Source organism: Homo sapiens, chromosome 20 (assembly GCF_000001405.40).
Source record: "Homo sapiens chromosome 20, GRCh38.p14 Primary Assembly".
NCBI lineage: Eukaryota > Metazoa > Chordata > Mammalia > Primates > Hominidae > Homo > Homo sapiens.
The window spans coordinates 36,818,428-36,837,587 of NC_000020.11; the positions used below are offsets into that span (position 1 = coordinate 36,818,428).

The window sequence follows — 19,160 nt, forward strand, 5'->3', positions numbered from 1 at the left end:
AAATGAATATAACAAATCGTAATTACACATGAGGCTTAGAAATGGTCATAAGAGACTGATGGCAAACAGTGATTCAAAAATCCAGAAGCTGGTCTGGCATAGTGGCTCATGCCTGTAATCCCAGTACTTTGGGAGGCTGAGGTGAGAGGATTGCTTGCATTGAGGAGTTTGAGACTAGCCTAGGCAACATAGCAAGACTCCACCTCAAAAAAATAAGATGTTTAAAATCCAGAAGCAATAGGGGAAAAAATAGATACATTTGATTATACAAGCAAATTCTGCATGGAAATAAAAACACCTTAAGAAAAGTAAAAACATAAATGACAAACTCTGAAAAAATATCTGCAATGTACAACACCAACAAAGGGTTGATATCCTAAATATGGAAAGAGTTTCACAAACAGAGCATTAAAAGGCCAGCAGACCTGTAGGAAAATAGGCTAGAGATATGAAAAACAGTTCACAGGAAAAGAAAGGCAAATGGATCATGGCACATGAAGACATCAAGGCACATGATGATATTCAACCCCACTCCTGTTAGATAAATGCAAATTAAAATTACACTGAGATACCGTTTCTCACCTATCAGATTGGCAAAAATCCAAATATCTGACGACATATTCTATTGGTGAAGCTATAGAGAAACAAAAAGGTTCATAAATTGCTGGCAAGAATGCCAAATGGCACAAGCCCTACAGAGGGAATTGGAGGAAATGTTACAATAACAATTACTGAAATTTCTCAATGTTTAAAGAAGTCATTCAATTAGATGCACGATTCTTTTGAGCGCTTCCTCCCAAGAGAGGAGGGGTGATTCCTGGTGGTGGTGTATGTATAAAACCTTGCTTAGGTTGTTTTGACTTTTCAAGGTGGGCTGGTATATTTTTGAAAATGGCCCCAGGTGATTTGGATACATGCTTGCTCCATCCCCCACCTCTCACACCCCATCCCTGAAAGTGACAGCCACTGATCTAATCTGAGTCCCATTTTTCTGAAACCAAGACAGAGGGGCAGGGACTTGTCCAAGGTCTCACAGTACACCCACAGCTGACCTGGGACCAGTTCTTGACATAGCTCTTGACCAAATTCCAAAGAGTTGGTAGGAGAAAATGTGTCTTCTCTGATGAGGGCCAGAGTGTAGCCAGCACAGTGGTTCTCAACCTGGTACACATCAGAATTACTCAAAAAAAAAAAAAAAAAGAAAAAATACTGGTGGTCTGAGGTAGGTCTGAGACATCAGTATTTTTCAAATGCTTTCAGGTGATTCTGAAGTGCAGGTCGGATCCTCTGTGCCAGGCAAGGAGAGCTCCAGATGGACTCCTAAGTACAGAATATCTTAGAGCTCAATCAAATCCTAAAGAGACCTTTTGAAATGCAAATGAGGCAGGGAGGCAGAGGCTGATATTTCAGACGCTGGGTGCCAAGAGCCAGGAGCCAGTATTTGAGAAGTGCTGACCTGGGAGCTTTCAAAAGCTGGAAGGGAAGAGGAGGAAACAGGGCTATGGGTCAGAAAACGAGTCCTTCCACAAGAGCCAGGAGGCAGCAGACAAGGGCAGCCAGTGGGGCCCTGGACGGGGCACACAGAAGCAGACCCCCGTATAGCATGCAAGGGGGTGCTGTGGGCTCAGACCATCAGGCTATGGAAGGATCTAGGCCCACCTATTACAAGCTGAGTGGGAAGGGCTGTGGCCTCAGCTGGGAGTTGAACTCTGGGGCCCTTGCAACGCTGAGTTTATGATCCCTGGGTGAACCCTTTCCTCTCCCTGAAATTCCATTTTCTCATTTATAACACTGGGCCATGGATTAGGTGACCAGAGCCCCACCAATGACTGCAGACTCCCTGGAGGAAGGAAGTGAAGTGACAGAGAGGAGAGCCAGGGGTCTGCATAGGTACCAAGGGGTCAGGCATCACATGTGAATGAATGAGATCACCTAAAGCCATTCAAAGTACTAAGGGATCATGAGATTCACTGACATGGTAAAGTCTCTCAGACACTCTGTTAAGGGAAAGAAGTGACCAGCAAAACAAAGCCTATAACCCAAATATGTCCACCAACTTTAGAATGGATTAAAAAAATGTGGTCTATCCACACAACAGAATATTTACTCAGCCACAGAAAGAAGAAAGAAATGGCTGGGTGTGGTGGCTCATGCCTGTAATTCCAGCTTTTGGGGAGGCTGAGGCAGTTGGATCACCTGAGGCCAGGAGTTTGAGACCAGCCTGGCCAACATAGTGAAACCCTGTCTCTACTAAAAATACAAAAATTAGCCAGGTGTGGTGGCAGGCACCTGTAATCCCAGCTACTAGGGAGACTGGGGCAGGAGAATCGGTTGAACCCATGAGGCAGTGGTTGCAGTGAGCCGAGATCACACCACTGCACTCCAGCCTGGGCAAAAGAGTAAGACTCTGTCTCAAAAAAAAAAAAGAGTTTAAAAATATATAGAAACCTGCATTGTATGAGACTAGAGAAAGACCTGGAAAGATACAAAGCAAACTGCTGATGCTGGGTCAGGCTGAGGAGTAGAATTGAAGGAGGCAGTTAGGGAAGGCTTTCTTCTTTAATTTATGGGTTTTATTATTTCTATTATTTTTGAATAGATAACAAAGTTGCATGGTTCAACATTCAAAAAGGACATAGAAGAATACAGTGAACCCAGTCACCCAGTTATCCCGCCCCAAGGCAACCAACGTAACCAGAGCACTGCAGCTTGTCCTTGGAGGTATGCTAGGCATGCATCTGTGTGCTTTTCTAATGATATTTTTGCTTCACTGAGTTTATATTACTTTTTTAGATTAAAAAATACATATTCTGGCTGGATGCAGTGGCTCACGCCTATAATCCCAGCACTTTGGGAGGCCGAGGTGGGTGGATCACCTGAGGTCGGGAGTTCAAGACCAGCCTAACCAACATGGAGAAACCCCGTCTCTACTAAAAATACAAAAAAAAAAATTAGCCGGGCATGGTGGTGCATGCCTGTAATCCCAGCTACTCGGGAGGCTGAGGCAGGAGGATCACTTGAACCCAGGAGGCAGAGGTTGCAGTGAGCCGAGATCACACCACTGCACTGTAGCCTGGGCAACAAGAGAGAAACTCTGTCTCAAAAACAAGAACAAAAACAAAACAGACAAAATGCATATTCTTAGCCGGGTGTTGTGGCATGTGTCTGTAGTCCTAGCTACTTGGGAGGCTGAGGTGGGAGAATTGCTTGAGCCCGCAAGGTGGAGGTTACATTGAGCCAAGATCACGTCCCTGCACTCCAGCCTGGGCAACAGAGCCAGACCTTGTCTCCAAAAAAGAAAAAAAGCATATTCACGTTTACATTTAAATACACATATATGTATACATAGAAAAACTTATTGGAAGTATATGCACCTCCCCATCCACACAGAAATTCCCTATGGCTTATTCGAATCTTCTAATCTTTTTCTGCTAAGCACATACTACTACCTGCTGGGGGGAAGGGAAAAGTCATTATAAAAGGTTTTTAAAATATACTTTCCCCAAGAAGTCACCAAACACCTTTCCAGCAGGCAGAGAAAAGGTGTGAATGAGCTGAGTGGCTTGAATCTCACCAGAAAGCAGGGTTGGGGGCAGAGGAGACGAGTTCCACCCTTTTCTGGTAGGACCTGACACTTCCCCCACCTTATCTAAGCCATGTGGGCTCCCACACAGCCCTGCCATTCTGGAGGGAAAACAAGGCGGGCTCAGAGTGCACAAAGACCTTCCTCCCCTCTGCACGGCAGCAGCTGGCCAGGTGGCTGGGGGGCTGCACCCCGCAAGAAAGCCAGGGCCTGTCAGAGCCCCTTTGTGGAGCCCCCAGGGATGAAGCCAGTCTCTGCCCAAGAGGCAGATGTTCTGGCTCTGGGCCTTGGGAGGGCAGGACAAGGCAGGGCGGTGCCTAGGCCCCAGCAGGAATGCAGCCGCAAGGCCTGGGGACATGCCCAGCCCTGAGGACAAACTCTGTGGCCTGGCATGCAACAGGGGCTTCCCCACTCGCCAGCAACTCACAAGGCCATCTTTGAGCAGCCAGTGTGGTACCTCTAAGCATCTCCCTGTCTACAGGCTTCTAGGAGAAGCCTGAGCTATGTCCTCCCTTGTCTTTCCTTCAGCCCAGGAGAGAGCTGCCTGAGCACAGCTCTGGAGGGGCCTCTGCACTCAAACACCTTCCTGCCCCACTTTGGCCAAGAAACAAAGGCCAACCTTCCAAGGAACAAAATGAATCTTCTGCCAAAACAGCAGGGCAGATTTTCACCAAATCTGGAGGAGATGTTTGGAAAGGTCTCACTGAAAGCACAGACTGTGCTTCAGGTACAAAATTTACTCTAGATTCTTTTTTTTTTTTTTTTGAGACAGGGTCTCACTCTGTCGCCCAGGCTGGAGTGCAGTGGCATGATCTCGGCTCACTGCAACCTCCGCCTCCCAGGTTCAAGCAATTCTCATGCCTCAGCCTCCTGAGTAGCCGAGACTACAGGTGTGCACCACCATATCTGGCTAATTTTTTGTATTTTTTGTAGAAATGGGATTTCGCCATGTTGCCCAGGCTGGTCTCGAACTCCTGAACCCAAGTGATCCACCCGCCTTGACCTCCCAAAGTGTTGGGATTACAGGCGTGAGCCACTGTGCCCGGCCTACTGTAGATTCTAGAAGGAACTTGGGGTTGGGGGTGTACCTCAAAGATTTAGGCATTCATTCTTCCTCCTGAGTGGCTGAAATGGCCACAGAGAGAGGCCATGTGGCTCTTGATTAGGGAGAGATCACTTGGGGGAGAAAACAAAGAGTGTTTTAAACATTGGCCCCAAATCAAATGTCACAAGGACAGATGGAGCCAACTGCACGTGAAGATTGGCAACGTAGCTGCTCCTTTCCCGGGCAACTGGCAGCTCTAGACACAGAGCTCCTTGCCAGAGGAAGCAGAAATGTATTTATTTAACTAAGACAAATGCTTCTCCAGACCCGCAGCCCTCACGGTGGTTGTGACACTAATGAAAATAATAAGTCCTTAGTCTGTGTTAAGCACTTTACTTGCTTGTCTTGTTTAATTTTCACAAACACCTCTGAGAAGTAGGGATAATATTCCAATTTTATAAACAAACTAGGCTGGGTACGATGGCTCATGCCTGTAATCCCAGCACTTTGGGAAGCTGAGAAGGGCAGATAGCTTGAGCCCAGGAGTTTGAGACCAGCCTGGGCAACATAGTGAGAGACCCCATCTCTTTCAAAAATACGAAATTAGCCAGGTGTGGTGGCGTGCGCCTATAGTCCCAACAACTTGGGATGCTGAGGCAGGAGGATCTCTTGAGCCCGGAAGTTTGAGGCTGCAATGAACCATGATCGTGCCACTACACTCTAGCCTGAGTGACACAGCAAGACTCTTGTCTCCCCCAAAAATAATAATAAAATAAATAAACTAAGCGCTAGAGCAGTTATATCATTTCCGCAAGGTTACAGTCACTTGCAAGTAAGTGCCAAGTCTGGAAAAAAGGCAGAACCGGGCTTTGAACTATCAGCCCCTTCCTAGCCCACCAGGTAGGAATTCCGGATGAGAAGGCTGTGCCAGGGAAGGAAGCAGTCACAGGAGTGGGCAGCCTCTTCCAGGTTTCTGAAGACACAACAGGGTCCTAGGAGAGCAAGGGTGGGGCAAGGAGCATAGGGGCAACACCAGAAGAGTCAGTGCGGGTTTGAGAGATGTGGAGTCCTGGGTTTGAATCCCATCTTTGTCTTTCCCCAGTCACGTCTACATCCTGCAGTTCTACTCCCTGGGATCTACACAAGAGAACTAACACAGAATCTCAGAAACGTGCACATGAATGTTCCCAGCAGCATTATTCATAGTAGCCAAAACAACCCAGATAAATGGACAAATCTAATGTGGTCATATACCCACACAATGGATGATTACTCAGCCATAAAGAGGAATGAGGTCCTGCTACATTCTTCAACATGGATGGATAAACCTTGAAAACCTGATGCTAAGTAAAAGAGGCCAGTCACCAAAGACTCCATTTGGATGAAGCATCCAGAACAGGCAAATCCAGAGACAGAAAGCGGATGAGTGGTTGCTGGGGGCAAGAGGGAAAGGGGGAGTGGGGAGTGACTGTTCATAGGCATGAGGTTACTTTTTGGGGCCATGGAAATGTTCTGGAATTAGATAATGGTGACGCTACAAAACATCATGAATATACTAAAAATCACTAAATTATACACTTTTATTTTTTGTTGTTTTTATTTTAATTTTTTTTTTCAGACAGGGTCTCGCTCTGTCACCCAGGCTGGAGTACACTGGCGTGATCTTGGCTCACTGCAACCTCCGTTTCCCAGGCTCAAGCAATTCTCCCACCTCAACCTCTTGGGTAGCTGGAACCACAGGCTTGTGTCATCAGGTCCAGCTAATTTTTTAAATTTTTGTAGAGACAAGGGTCTCAATATATTGCCCAGGCTGGTCTCAAACTCCTGGGCTCAAGCAATCCTGCTGCCTCGGCCTCCCAAAGTGCTGTGTCTGGTCTGAATTGTACACTTTTTTTTTTTTTTGAGACAGAGTCTCGCTTTGTTGCCTAGGCTGGAGTGCAATGATGGGATGTCGGCTCACTGCAACCTCCAGCTCCCGGGTTCAAGCAATTCTCCTCCTATTTCAACCTCCCAGGTAGCTGGGATTACAGGCGCCCACCACCACACTTGGCTAATTTTTGTATTTGTAGTAGAAGTGGGGTTTCACCATGTTGGTCAGGCTGGTCTCGAACTCCTGACCTCAGGTGATCCACCCGCCTTGGCCTCCCAAAGTGCTGGGATTACAGGTGTGAGCCACTGTGCCCAGCCCAAACTGTACACTTTTAAATGGTGAGTTGTATGATATGGGAATTAAATCATGATTTTAAAATTGCCAACAAACAGTGGCACCTATAAAATAAGACAACCACACCATGTCCGTGGGAAGGCTGTTGGAGGGTTAAACAATGTGCTGGTGTGGTCAAGGCTTCTGTGGTGCCTGGCACAGAGTGAGGGCTCAAACACAGCAGCTATACCATAATAAATCACGTCAACACTCGTATTGGCTTTCTGCCTAAAACACAAGGAGGGGTGTGACACTGGAAGAGAGGGTAGCTGGGCAACAGTGCCACCGCAGCCCTCGGCCAGGGTCTGCCACCTCCCTTCTCTCTAGCGGAGAGCTGTCTCCATGGCAACCACATCAGCTCAGGCCAGGGGCTCCTGTTCCCAGCCGGGTGACAGCACCACCTCGGCAGCCTGTCAGGATGGCAACGGCAGATCTTGATGATGGGACTGAGGCTCTGGCAGAAGAATTGCTCAGGGACCCTCGTCTCCATAGAAACCATGTCAGGAAAGAGACGGAGGAGGGAGAGGATAAACAGCAAATAATAAACACAGGCTCCCGCCTCCTGTGCACAAGCCTGAGACACCACAGGGCACGCGAGGAGAGCTAGACCAGCCTCACTGACACCAGCTGCAAAAGGATGTGAACCAGTGTTTCTTGAGCACCTACTCTGTACCAGGCACCACAAAGGGCTCTTTACAAGCTTTACCTCTTTTAAAAATTTCACAAATAAATTCCAAATACTTTCTTTTCTTTTTTTTTTTTCTTTGAGACGGAGTCCCGTTCTGTCGCCCAGGCTGGAGTGCAGTGGCACAATCTCAGCTCACTGCAAGCTTCACCTCCGGGGTTCATGCCATTCTCCTGCCTCAGCCTCCTGAGTAGCTGGGACTACAGGTGCCCGCCATCACTCCTGGCTAATTTTTTTTTGTATTTTTAGTAGAGACGGGGTTTCACCGTGTTAGCCAGGATGGTCTTGATCTCCTGACCTCATGATCCGCCTGCCTTGGCTTCCCAAAGTGCTGGTCTTTTCTTTTCTGTTTCCCCCCTCCCCCTCCCCCTCCCCCTCTCCCTCCCCCTCCCCCTCTCCCTCCCCCTCCCCCCTCCCCCTCCCCCCTCCCTCTCCTTCTCCCTCTCCCTCTCGATGCAGGGTCTCACTCTATAGCCCAGGCTAGAGTCCAGTGGCACCATCATAGCTCACTGCAGCCTCAACCTCTTGGGCTCAAGTGATCCTCCCACCTCAACCTCCCTAGTAGCTGGGACTACAGGCATGCACAAAGATGCCTGGCTAAATTTCGTATTTTTTGTAGAGACGGGGTTTTGCCATGTTGCTCAGGCTGGTCTTGAACTCCTAGCCCCAACCAATCTGCCCACCTCTGCCTCCCAGAATGCTGGGGTTACAAGCATGAGCCACCACACCCAGCCTCATTCCTTCTTAAGGTTGAATAGTTTTCCATTATACATGTGTACTACACTTTGTTTATCCATTCCTCTGTTGATGAACATTTGGGTTGCTTCTACCCTCTGGCTATTGTGAGTTATGCTGCTATGAACACGGGTGTGTAAATATCTCTTTGAGTCTCTGCTTTCAATTCTTTTGGGATATACCTAGAAGTGAGATTGCTGGATCATATGATTGTTCTATGTTTAATTTTTGAGGAACTGCCATACTATCTTATTCTTTTTAATTTCTTCATAGTATTCTATGGCTACATAATCTTATTAATGATCCTAAACAACCTCATAGGCTGCGTACAGTTATCATCCTGCTTTATTTATTTATTTATTTATTTATTTATTTATTTATTTGAGATGGAGTTTCACTTTTGTCGCCCAGGCTGGAATGAATGCAGTGGCGCAATCTCGGCTCACTGCAACCTCCACCTCCCAGGTTCAAGAGATGCTCCTGCCTCAGCCTCCCAAGTACCTGGGATTACAGGTGCCCGCCACCACACCCAGCTAATTTTTTTTTGTATTTTTAGTAGACATGGGGTTTCGCCATGTTGGCCAGGCTGGTCTTGAACTCCTAACCTCAGGTGATCCACCCACCTCAGCCTCCCAAAGTGCTGGGATTACAGGCGTGAGCCACTGTGCCTGGACCCCCCTTTTTTTTTTTTTTTTTTTTTTTGGAGATAGGGTCTCACTCTGTCTCCCAGGCTGGAGTGCAGTGGTGCGATCTCACCTCACTGCAGCCTCCACTTCCTAAGTAGCTGGGACTACAGGCAGGCACCACCACACCTGGATAATTTTTGCATTCTTTATAGAGACAGAGTTTCACTATGTTGCCCAGGCTGGTCTCGAACTCCTAGGCTCAAGAGATCTGCCCACCTTGGCCTCCCAAAGTGCTGGGATTATAGGTGTGAGCCACCGTGCAGGCTTTGCTTGTTTGTTTGCTTGCTTATCCTGATGTCACAGATAAAGAAACTGAGACTTAGAGAGGGGAAGTGGCTTCAGGGTTCCAGCCACATCTCTGCTAAGGAGAGGCTGGGTGAACTCAGGCAAGCTGTTCCTCCTGAGCCTCAGTTTCATTACTTGTACCGTGACCTTAAGATGCTTTCAGAAATTGTCTCCCCTTTTCACTATCAAGGGTTGCAGCAGCAAGACGGTGTGAAGATGGTGCTCCGTGTTATGGGCCAGGCCATGGGGGTGGGCAGCTGAATGAAGGGAGGGGGCTAGCCACCCTTAGCAGCAAACGCCTCCTCTCCCTGCACACTGAGAGGGCATTGGCACATCACACCAACACACCCAGTGGGAAGGATGGCTGGAGGAATGTTCTGGCCTTGGGCTGTGGTGTCTCAGTCCAAGGACACTGGCAGGCTCGCCCTCGGGGGAGGAAGGCAGGCAGCGCCTGCAGCGAGGAGTGTGCCCTAGAAGAATGCACGATCCTCATATCTCATCAGCAGGCAGAGAGCTAAGGCCTGGCTCTGCCTCTAGGGCCAGAAGCCACCCCAGGCCATTTGGAACACAGAACCCTGGAATGGGGGGATTCCAGCCTTTAAGGGACACCTAGGCTGATGGTTTCTAGCCGGCATTCTGCAGAACCCCCTGAGCCCTGCATGGCCTTGAGGTTGTCCCTCCCTCTCTCTCAGGGGCTGTTTGCTCATCCACAAAATGGGCATGATCGCAACCTTGTTAGCATGAAAATGTTTGAGATAAACTGTCAAGCAGGGCGCATAACACACTGTATACCCAACACACAACAGGAGGAGAAGGTCTGCCAGGGGAGGAACTGGCATGAACAAACACAGACAGGAATGTGTCTCAGGGTCACATTCGGGAAGCACCAGTACCCCAGAGACACTGGCCTGAGACCCAGCCCCTGCACTGACTTCACACCAAATGGCAGGATCTCGCAGTCTCTTGCAGCCACTCCACATGCGTTATTCCTGTTGGTCCTCACAATGACTCAGGGCACCACTGCCCCATTGTATAGGTAAGGAAACTGAGGCACAGAGGGCTGAGCCCCATGCCTGACATTGTTGCATGTTTTCTCAGTTAATCCTCCCACAGCGGCTGTGGTTCTTTGATGAATGACTCTCTCTCTCATTACCCCGTGAGCTCCCTGAGGACAGGAACTGGGTGTGTTTTGTTCACCATTGTAACCTTAGTGTCCAGCACACAATTTACACAGTAGGTGCTCAGGAAATGCATGTTGGAGGAATGAATGAATAAACAACCTTGCCAGGGAGGCATAAGCTGCCCATTTCCCACAAGCGGGGGCTCACAGAGACACTGGCTTGGGGGGGCTTGCATGTGCCCACCTGCCCTAGGCTGGCCCTGCTGGATGCATGAGGTCCTCACCTCTCTCGGTCGCTCCAGCTCCGTCTGCAGCACCTGCTTAGCCAGCTCAGTCTCGATGAGCCGCTGACGAAGCTCTTCGTTCTCCTCCTCCAGCCGCGCCCGTTTCTTCTCCACCACCTCGAGCTCCTTATGCAGCCGCATGGAGATGTCCTTAGAGACCTGTGCAGGGGTGGGAGAGAGAAGGATGTGAGCAGGCTGAGGAGAGCCCCCACTGCAAGTCCCACTGACCACCCGACTTTCACAGCAGGGCAACCCTAGAGACAGGCAGGTTCCTATCGCATCACTGCCACGCTGCAGATGAGCAAACTGAGGCACAAAGAGACCAAGAAACTCATGAAGGAAGCAGTAGAACCAAAACCCAAACCTAGGTACCGCAAGCTCTCAGCATCTGTATCACAGCACAGCCCCAGAAAGCTGGGAAGACCCTGTTCTCAGGAATGCCTTTTCATTTACCTGAGGCTTTTTTTTTTTTTTTTTTTTTTGAGACAGGGTCTCACTATGTCTCCCAGGCTGGAGTGCAGTGGTGCAATCATGTCTCACTGCAGGCTTGAACTCCAGGGCTCAAGCAATCCTCTCACCTCAGCCTCCTGAGTAGCTGGGACTACAGGTATGCATAACCACAACTGGCTAATTTTTGCATTTTTATGTAGACACGGGGTCTCAGCCGGGCGCAGTGGCTCACACCTGTAATCCCAGCACTTTGGGAGGTCGAGACAGGTGGATCACCTCAGGTCAAGAGTTCGAGACCAGACTGGCCAACATGGTGAAACCCCATCTCTACTAAAAATACAAAAAATTAGCCAGGCGTGGTGGCAGGTGCCTGTAATCCCAGCACTTTGGGAGGCTGAAGCAGGAGAATTGCTTGAACCAGGGAGGCAGAGGCTGCGGTGAGCCAAAATCATGCCACTGCACTCCAGCCTGGGCAATAAGAGCAAAACTTTGTCTATAAATAAATAAATAAAAAGAAACGGGGTCTCACTATGTGGTCCAGGAGAGTCTTGAACTTGTGGCCTCAAGGGATCCTCCTGCCTCAGCTTCCCGAGTAGCTGAGATTACAGGCATGAGCCACTGTGCCTGCCTACCTGGGCTCTTCACACTTCCAAAGCCTCTCCCAGCCACCACTTGCCCAGTCCTCACAAAAGCCTGTGGGAGGGCCAGAAGCTCATCTTAAAGGGAGGAGACTGAGGAACTGGGTACAGTAGCTCACACCTGTAATCCCAACACTTTGAGGGGCTGGACACGGTAGCTCACACCTGGAATCCCACACTTTGAGAGGCCGAGGCAGGGGGATCGCTTGAGCCCAGGAATTCGAGATGTGCCTGGGGAACATAGCAAGACCCCACCTCTACAAAAAACCCAAAAAAGTTAGCTTGGCATGGTGGCACACACCTACAGGCCCAACTACTCAGGAGGCCAACATGGAAGAATCACCTGGGCCCTGGAGTTCGAGGTTGCAGTGAGCTATGATTGTGCCACTGCACTCCAGCCTAGGCAACAGAGCGAGACCCTGTCTCCTAAAAACAAAACAAAGCAAAGCAAAACAAAACAGAGAGGGGATTGAGCTGCAGTGGAAACCCAGAGAAGATGGGCCCTAGACCACTGAATCCCATCTCTGCCAGTGACCAGCATGTAGTCCTGGGCAAGGCAATTTTCCTCTCTGTACCTCAGTCTCCTCAACTATAAAATGAACGCAGTGATAACAGGGTCAACCTTACAGGCCCGACAGGATAACTGAACCAGCTATTACACAAAAGCCTTGGCCTGGGGCCTGCACACAGTGAGTTCTGGGTGACTGGTAGCTGCTGCTCCAAGGAACTGAAGCCCAGAGAAGGGCATGATCGCTGGAGGTCACAGTGTGACCCTGAGACCTATATCTAGTTGTCTGGGATGTAGAACAGGCCCAAAATGACAAAGGGTGGGCAGATGTCCAAGTCATCCCTACAGAAAGAAGCTAGAGGAGCTGCAATCTCTGATCCTGGTCCAGGACTCTGTAGCAACAGCACCCCATTCCTGGTAGACACCCTCTGTTCTGTCCCCTGCTGGCTGGTTGAGGGAAGCCAGGAAAGGAGGCCTGCAGGGATGAGGAAGGAAGGCCCTTCTGGGCTGGGAAATTGCAACCAGACTCCATCTCTATGTACATTGGGAACTACTGTTTGGTGAATACCTACTGCATGCCAAACTCACCCATCTTCACCCCAATCCTGTCCCCATTTTACAAGGAAACTGGAGCTCAGAGCAGAAGTGACTCACTCAGGGTCACGCAAAGCCAGTGTGGGTTGAGCTGGGCTGGGAGCCCCAGGGGTTTGGCTGAGGGGCCAGTATAGCCCAGGGTTTCCCAGGGGTGCCCAGGTTTCGCCAGCAGGAACTCCATGTGGGGCAGAGAGCCCAGCAACCCATGCCTGCTGGTCTCGGAAATGACTGTTGTGCCTCCTCCTTGCCAGAAGGGAAGAGGGCCCTCCCTGGCTCTGACCTCTGCCTGGGCCGAAGCCCAGCTCGGCACGGACCCCTTGGCAATGTATGAGGCAGGCCAGGAAAAACAACGACCAGAAAGGAAACCAGGCATGGCCTCTCCCTCCCTGCACTGCCACTGCCTGTTTCTGCCCGAGGATCTCGTAGGACAGCCAGGAGCGGGCCCATGAGGCTCCTCCCACAGCCTCTCTGGGTACCAGACCTTCCTCATCCACGAAGTGGGGAGAACAACCCCTCAGTATCAGAACAAGGGCTTTGCAGATAGGAAAACTAGATTCAAGCCCAGTTCCAGCATTTACTGGCTATGTGACCCAGGTTAAGTTATTTAAACATGGTCCCCAGTTTGGGGCTGTTAGGTCACCCAGTAAGCCCCTGTCCTGATCAACATTCCATTCATTAACTCACTCATACTCACTCACTAACTCACTCACTCACTCATCCTGCTTAGGCACTGGAGGCAGGAGTGGTGGGGTACAGAGATCAAGGCCGCAGACATACTTGGCCTCATTCATATCTATGTGTCCCAGCAGCAGCGCAGCGTCAGGCACACACTAAGTGCCTAATAAATGCTTGTTGGATGAACAAATAAATCCAAGGGTCCAACAAGTGAAAAGGGAGGGAGATGAATGAGTGAATGACTGAATATACATGGGGAGTGGTACCTGCCCTCGCAGGGCTGAAGAGGCTGCCCTCAAATGCCAACCCCACCCACTATCCAGGAAGGGCTGCACCCCTGGCTGGGGTGAGGGCTCCTCTCTCAAATGAGCTCCCATCTGGGCCAGCTCCTCTCCACCTGCGGGGATGCCCCATCTCCACCATGTCCTCCACCTGGGGAGGCTACCAGTCCCCATCAAGAAGTCACAATCCATGTGGATTTCTGGATCCTCTGGGGTTCATGAACAACTCTATGGATTTCATCCCCTCCCATCCTCTCCATGATTCCCCAGTTCCCTTCTGCCCCATTCTCCATGGAATCCCTTTCCTATTTACTCCCTTTCCCTGATGGCTGCTGTATCAAAAGAAAGCACAGGCCAGGCACGATGACTCACGCCTATAATCCCAACACTTTGGGAGGCTGAGACGGGCAGATCACTTGAGGTCAGGAGTTCAGGACCAGCCTGGCCAACATGGTAAAACCCCGTCTTTGCTGTCTCTACTAAAAATACAAAAATTAGCCAGGCGTGGTGGCACATGCCTATAATCCCAGCTTCTTGAGAAGCTGAGGCAGGAGAATTGCTTGAACCCAGGAGACGGAGGTTGCAGTGAGCTGAGATTGCACCACTGCACTCCAGCCTGGGTGACAGAGCAATACTTTGTCTCAGAAAAAGAAAAAAAAAAATCACAACTCCAGGCAGCCAGACTGGGAGGCAGGAGCCCTGTGGCCTGGGCTTGTCCCTGCTCCTCAGTGAGCCTCAGTGGTCCTGGGCCCCCTCGGCCCTCACAAGTGATTTACAGAATCAGCTGGAACATCCCCCGGGTGCTCACCACGTGCTTTTCATCCCGTTGGGAAGCACTTTGATTATTATCCCCATTCTGAGGCTCAGAAAGGAAAGGTCACTTCCCAAGGTCACACAGCTAGGAAGGCTATAGAACTAAGGTTTGAAATCGAGTGGGTCAACTCTAAAGTCTCACTCTCAGGCTGATTTTGCCGTATAGGCCCAATGCGTGAAAACACATTACATTAACATCAACAATACAAGTATTAATAATAAACCCCAACAGTGGGCTTACTGTGTCAGGCATTTGAAGGGCCCCACGTGTCTATCCCATTTGATCCTCCCAGCTACCCTCAAGGTAGGGGGGCTGAGATACTAAGGGAGGCGCGGCAGCTGCGGCTTCCGAAAACCAGGGCAAATCCCTAAACCATAAACAAATGCACTCAGCCATGAGGTCACTGTTTACAGCGCTAGGGCCTGGCTCCTGCCAAGTGCAACTAGCAGCCTCCAGCCCCTGCTCCCCAGGCATCAGGCCCCTCGGCTCCTGGGCCTCTGTCATCCTGATCCTCAGGGAGAGGGATGGGAGCTCTCACGAAAGAGCAGCTCCTGGCCGGGCATGGTGGCTGACGCCTGTAATTCCAATACTTTGGGAGGTCGAGGTAGGAAGACTGCTTGAGGCCAGGAGTTCAAGACCAGCCTGAGCAAAATAGGGAGACCCCCATCTCTATAAAAACTTTTTAAAATTAGCAGGGCATGATGGTGTGTGCCTGCAGTATCAGCTACTCAGGAAGCTGAGACAGGAGGATCCCTTGAGAGCCCAGGAGGTCAAGGCTGCAGTGAGCTGTGATCAGCCACCGTACTGCAGCCTGGGTGACAAAGAGAGACTATGTTTCAAGAAAGAAAGAAAGAAACAAAGAAACAAGGCCGGGCATGGTGGCTCATGCCTGTAATTCTGGCCCTTTGGGAGGCCGAGGCCGGCAGATCACTTGAGGTCAGGAGTTCGAGACCAGACCGGTCAACACGGTGAAACCCCGTCTCTACTAAAAAAATACAAAAATTAGCTGGGTATGGTGGCATGCCTGTAATCCCAGCTACTCGGAAGGCTGAGGCAGGAGAATTGCTTGAACCCGGGAGGTGGAAGTTGCAGTGAGCAGCGATCACGCTACTGTACTCCAGCCTGGGTGACAGAGCAAGACTTCATCTCAAAAAAAAAAAAAAAAAGAAAAAAGGAAGAGCATCCCCTGGCCAGGCAGCATTCTGGACTCCGTGTGGCTGAATCCTCCTACAAACCCCAGGAGGGTAGGAATGTCACCCCCACTCTACAGATGAGGAAAGTGAGGCTCAAAGAAGGGAGGTAACCTGCACAGGTCACCTAGGAATGAAACCCAAAGCCAGAACATTTTCTCCAGCAACATCTGTATCTGAGGAAGGGGGCGTGCTCCTGGTGTGTCCTTGGCTTCCCACAGGAGTCACTTTAGACCAGAGTTTAGATCCCAGATTCCCTGGACCTGACCTCCTTGTATCCGGTCTCAGCTCCTCACGGGTCCTGGGAATGTATGTTGTGAACAAGCCCTCCTGGTGATTTTTATCCACCCTGGGAGGCTGAGATCCTGGCCTACCCTCGCCCCCAGACTACTAGTCTACTACTACTACCAACCAGTCCTACTAGCCTACTACTACTAGTAGTCCTACTGATGTATTGCTCAGAAGAACTTATACTTGCTGTGTGAGTTCTTCTCAGCAATAAGAAAACCACAACCAGACCAGGCATGGTGGCTCACACCTGTAATCCCAGCACTTTGGGAGGCCGACGTGGGTAGATCACCTGAGGTCAGGAGTTAGAGACCAGCCTGGCCAACACAGAGAAACCCCATCTCTACTAAAAATACGAAAATTAGCTGGACATGGTGGCGCATGCCTGTAATCCCAGCTACTTGGGAGGCTGAGGTAGGAGAATTGCTGGAACCCAGGAGGCAGAGGTTGCTGAGATCACACCACTGCACTCCAGCCTGGGTGACAGAGTGAGACCCTGCCTTAAAAAAAAAAAGAAAAAGAAAACCACAACCAATACATGTTTATTTCCAGACCTAGTATTTAATACTCTCTTCACTTGAATTATTTCATTTTATCCTCACAAAAACCTCTAGAGGGAGGGACTCATTTTATCTCCATTTTCCATGAGGAAACAAGCTCAGAGATGTGAAGGAACTTACCCAAGGCCACACAGCAAACGTGGCACAGCAGCTCTCCGCCCCGTGACCTTGCCCTCCTCATGCTGGGCAAAGGCCCCACCGAGGTTCTGTAGGTCCTGTCAACGGTGAGGACCAGCAGAGAGGGAGAGCTGGGGGTTGGGGGGGGGCACTGAGGCCTGTGGTTTTATTCATGACCCCCCACCCCACCCCACCAATACCCCTCTGCTCCATAAAACCACAGGAGCTCAAAAGCCCTGAGGATTCAGCTGGTCAAAAGCCACATTTAACAGAAGGGGAAAATGAGGCACCAAGCGGTAGGGGCAAGTCAGGGCATGGACCACGGAGCTGGCAGAGCAAGTTGGGGAAGTCCCAGAGGTACCCTCCTAGGCAGCGCCCGCCCCCTCCCCACTCGGGTCCATCAAGCCCTCCAAGACGATGCCAGGGAAAGCAGCATTCTGATAACTTCCCAAAACCCCCCAGAACGACCCCAGCACATGGGGCTCAGGGTGGTGGCCAGAGGTGTCCATCCAGCTCAGGCCCCAGGCCCGCAGATGAGCTCAGCGCTCCAGCTGCAGCGTGGGGAGAGGAGGGAGGGAAGGGCAAGAGGGATGCTGATTGGCTAATTCAAACCCCAACAGAAACGGCCCCTCCTCTCCGCCCAGACTCCGGAGAGCCACACACCCGCTCCCCACACCCGCCTCCCCGCCGCCGCCGCCGCTGCTCTAGCTCCACCCACGGAGGCGCCGCAGCCGGCAGCTAGCTCCAGGTCCCAGCCTCTCCTCCGCCTCTTCCTCATCTTTCTGAAGTCTGACATTTTTTTGTGTCCCTCCCAGAAATCCTCCACTATATGCCCAAACGCAGATTCCTCTGAGCTTCTCCAGCTATTCCCTCCCCCTCCCCATCTCCTCCCTACTGCCTTCCCCCACCACCCCCCACCCCTCCCAACCCAGTGATTGGAATCTGAATATGCCCGGGAGCTGCCCTGTCAAGTAGAGGTACGCTTTGAACTTGGAAACTAACTCATTCTTTTTTTTCTTTTAGAGAGAGACCTTGTCGCTCTGTCGCCCAGGCTGGAGTGCAGTGCTGCAATCATAGCTCACTGAAACCTTTAACTCCTGGACTCAAGCAATCCTCTGGCCTTGGCCTCCCATATAGCTGGGACTATAGGCACTTGCCACCACGCCCAGCTAATTTTTTTTTTTTTTTTTTTTTTTTTTGAGACAGAGTTTCACTCTGTCACCCAGGCTGGACTGCAATGGTGTGAGCTCACTGCAACCTCGGCCTCCCAGGTTCAAGCGATTCATCTGCCTCAGCCTCCTGAGTAGCTGGGAGTACAGGCGTGTACCACCACACCCGGCTCATTTTGTATTTTTAGTAGAGCCGGGGTTTCACCATGTTGGCCAGGCTGGTCTCGAACTCCTGACCTCAGGTGATCCATCCGCCTCGGCCTGCCAAAGTGCTAGGATTACAGGTGTGAGCCACCACCCCCAGCCTCTGCTAATTTTTTTTATTTTTTTGTAGAGATAGGGTCTTGCTATGTTGCCCAGCCTGATTTCCAACTATTGGCCTCTAGCGATCCTCCCACTTCAGCCTCCCAAAGCGCTGGGATTCTGGGATTACAGGCATGAGCCTCCACCTCTGGCGGAGACACAACCATTGGTTGCCTCATGTGTAGGACAGCACTACAATCCCATTGTGCACCAACAAGACCACAGGGGGCGCCAGCAGCTTCCTGGAACAGGCACTCCTGTTTACCTCCCCTGGTTCTGCTGGCCTTTGAAACCATGGCTCTCCCTGGTCCCTTAACAAAGGTTTTTCTTTTATATTCCACTGGAAAGGCTATAGGGCTTGAGTTTGCCAGTGTCTTCCAACAGAAGGGACTTCTCCCCAGGTAAGTGTGTGGCTGACTCGCATCCTGCCGCTCCCCTGGGTCCTCACAGGAGCCATCTTCTGCCACCTTCCTCTTTCCCCCTTCCTGGCTCAGGCCCACTTCTCCCTTGGGCCTTCACTCAGAAGTCACCCCTGCAGGAAGCCTCCCTAGGGCCCCATCCCAGCTCCTCGTGTCACCAGATCACACTGGGCTGAGTTCTGAGGGCAGAGGGCCGGGCCTGGGGGCCCTGGAGTTCTCACCACCAGACCAGAGCTTCCGAAGACAGGCAGGGGGACATCCCACCTGCCAACCTCCCACCCACCCTTCCCCTGCTTCCTGAAGCAGAGAGCAGTGAGGCCAAGCTGGAGGCTTGGGAGGCTCATGAGCCTGGGCTCTGCCACCAACACACTGAGCGCCCCTTGACCTTCGGCAGGTATTGCTTTTCTCTGAACCTCAGATTCTTCATCAAGAAAATGGAAATAATGATAGCTAACATTTTTGAGTCCTTATGCTGGCATTTTACCCACATTATTATTATTATTATTATTATTATTATTATTATTATTA

General features: G+C 50.6%; 1 protein-coding gene across 2 annotated transcripts in view, besides 4 other annotated features; it reads right to left on the reverse strand.

The window, feature by feature from the left end:
- The window catches only part of MTCL2 (microtubule crosslinking factor 2), an 86,092-nt gene that overhangs the window by 40,981 nt on the left and 25,951 nt on the right, over nt 1–19,160 (reverse strand). For both annotated transcript variants that reach the window (NM_080627.4, NM_199181.3), the window contains exon 3: nt 10,627–10,785. In NM_080627.4, the coding sequence (NP_542194.2) occupies nt 10,627–10,785 (159 nt within the window). The remainder of the gene's footprint in view (nt 1–10,626; nt 10,786–19,160) is intronic.
- Nucleotides 9,126–9,185: an enhancer, noted in NCBI's record as "active region_17819". NCBI's record gives its function as "activates an Ori minimal core promoter by ATAC-STARR-seq in GM12878 lymphoblastoid cells {active_cell/tissue: GM12878}" and the evidence as "EXISTENCE:reporter gene assay evidence [ECO:0000049][PMID:35858748]".
- Nucleotides 9,686–9,795: an enhancer, noted in NCBI's record as "active region_17820". NCBI's record gives its function as "activates an Ori minimal core promoter by ATAC-STARR-seq in GM12878 lymphoblastoid cells {active_cell/tissue: GM12878}" and the evidence as "EXISTENCE:reporter gene assay evidence [ECO:0000049][PMID:35858748]".
- Nucleotides 16,986–17,045: an enhancer, noted in NCBI's record as "active region_17821". NCBI's record gives its function as "activates an Ori minimal core promoter by ATAC-STARR-seq in GM12878 lymphoblastoid cells {active_cell/tissue: GM12878}" and the evidence as "EXISTENCE:reporter gene assay evidence [ECO:0000049][PMID:35858748]".
- Nucleotides 17,276–17,565: a silencer, noted in NCBI's record as "silent region_12879". NCBI's record gives its function as "represses an Ori minimal core promoter by ATAC-STARR-seq in GM12878 lymphoblastoid cells {active_cell/tissue: GM12878}" and the evidence as "EXISTENCE:reporter gene assay evidence [ECO:0000049][PMID:35858748]".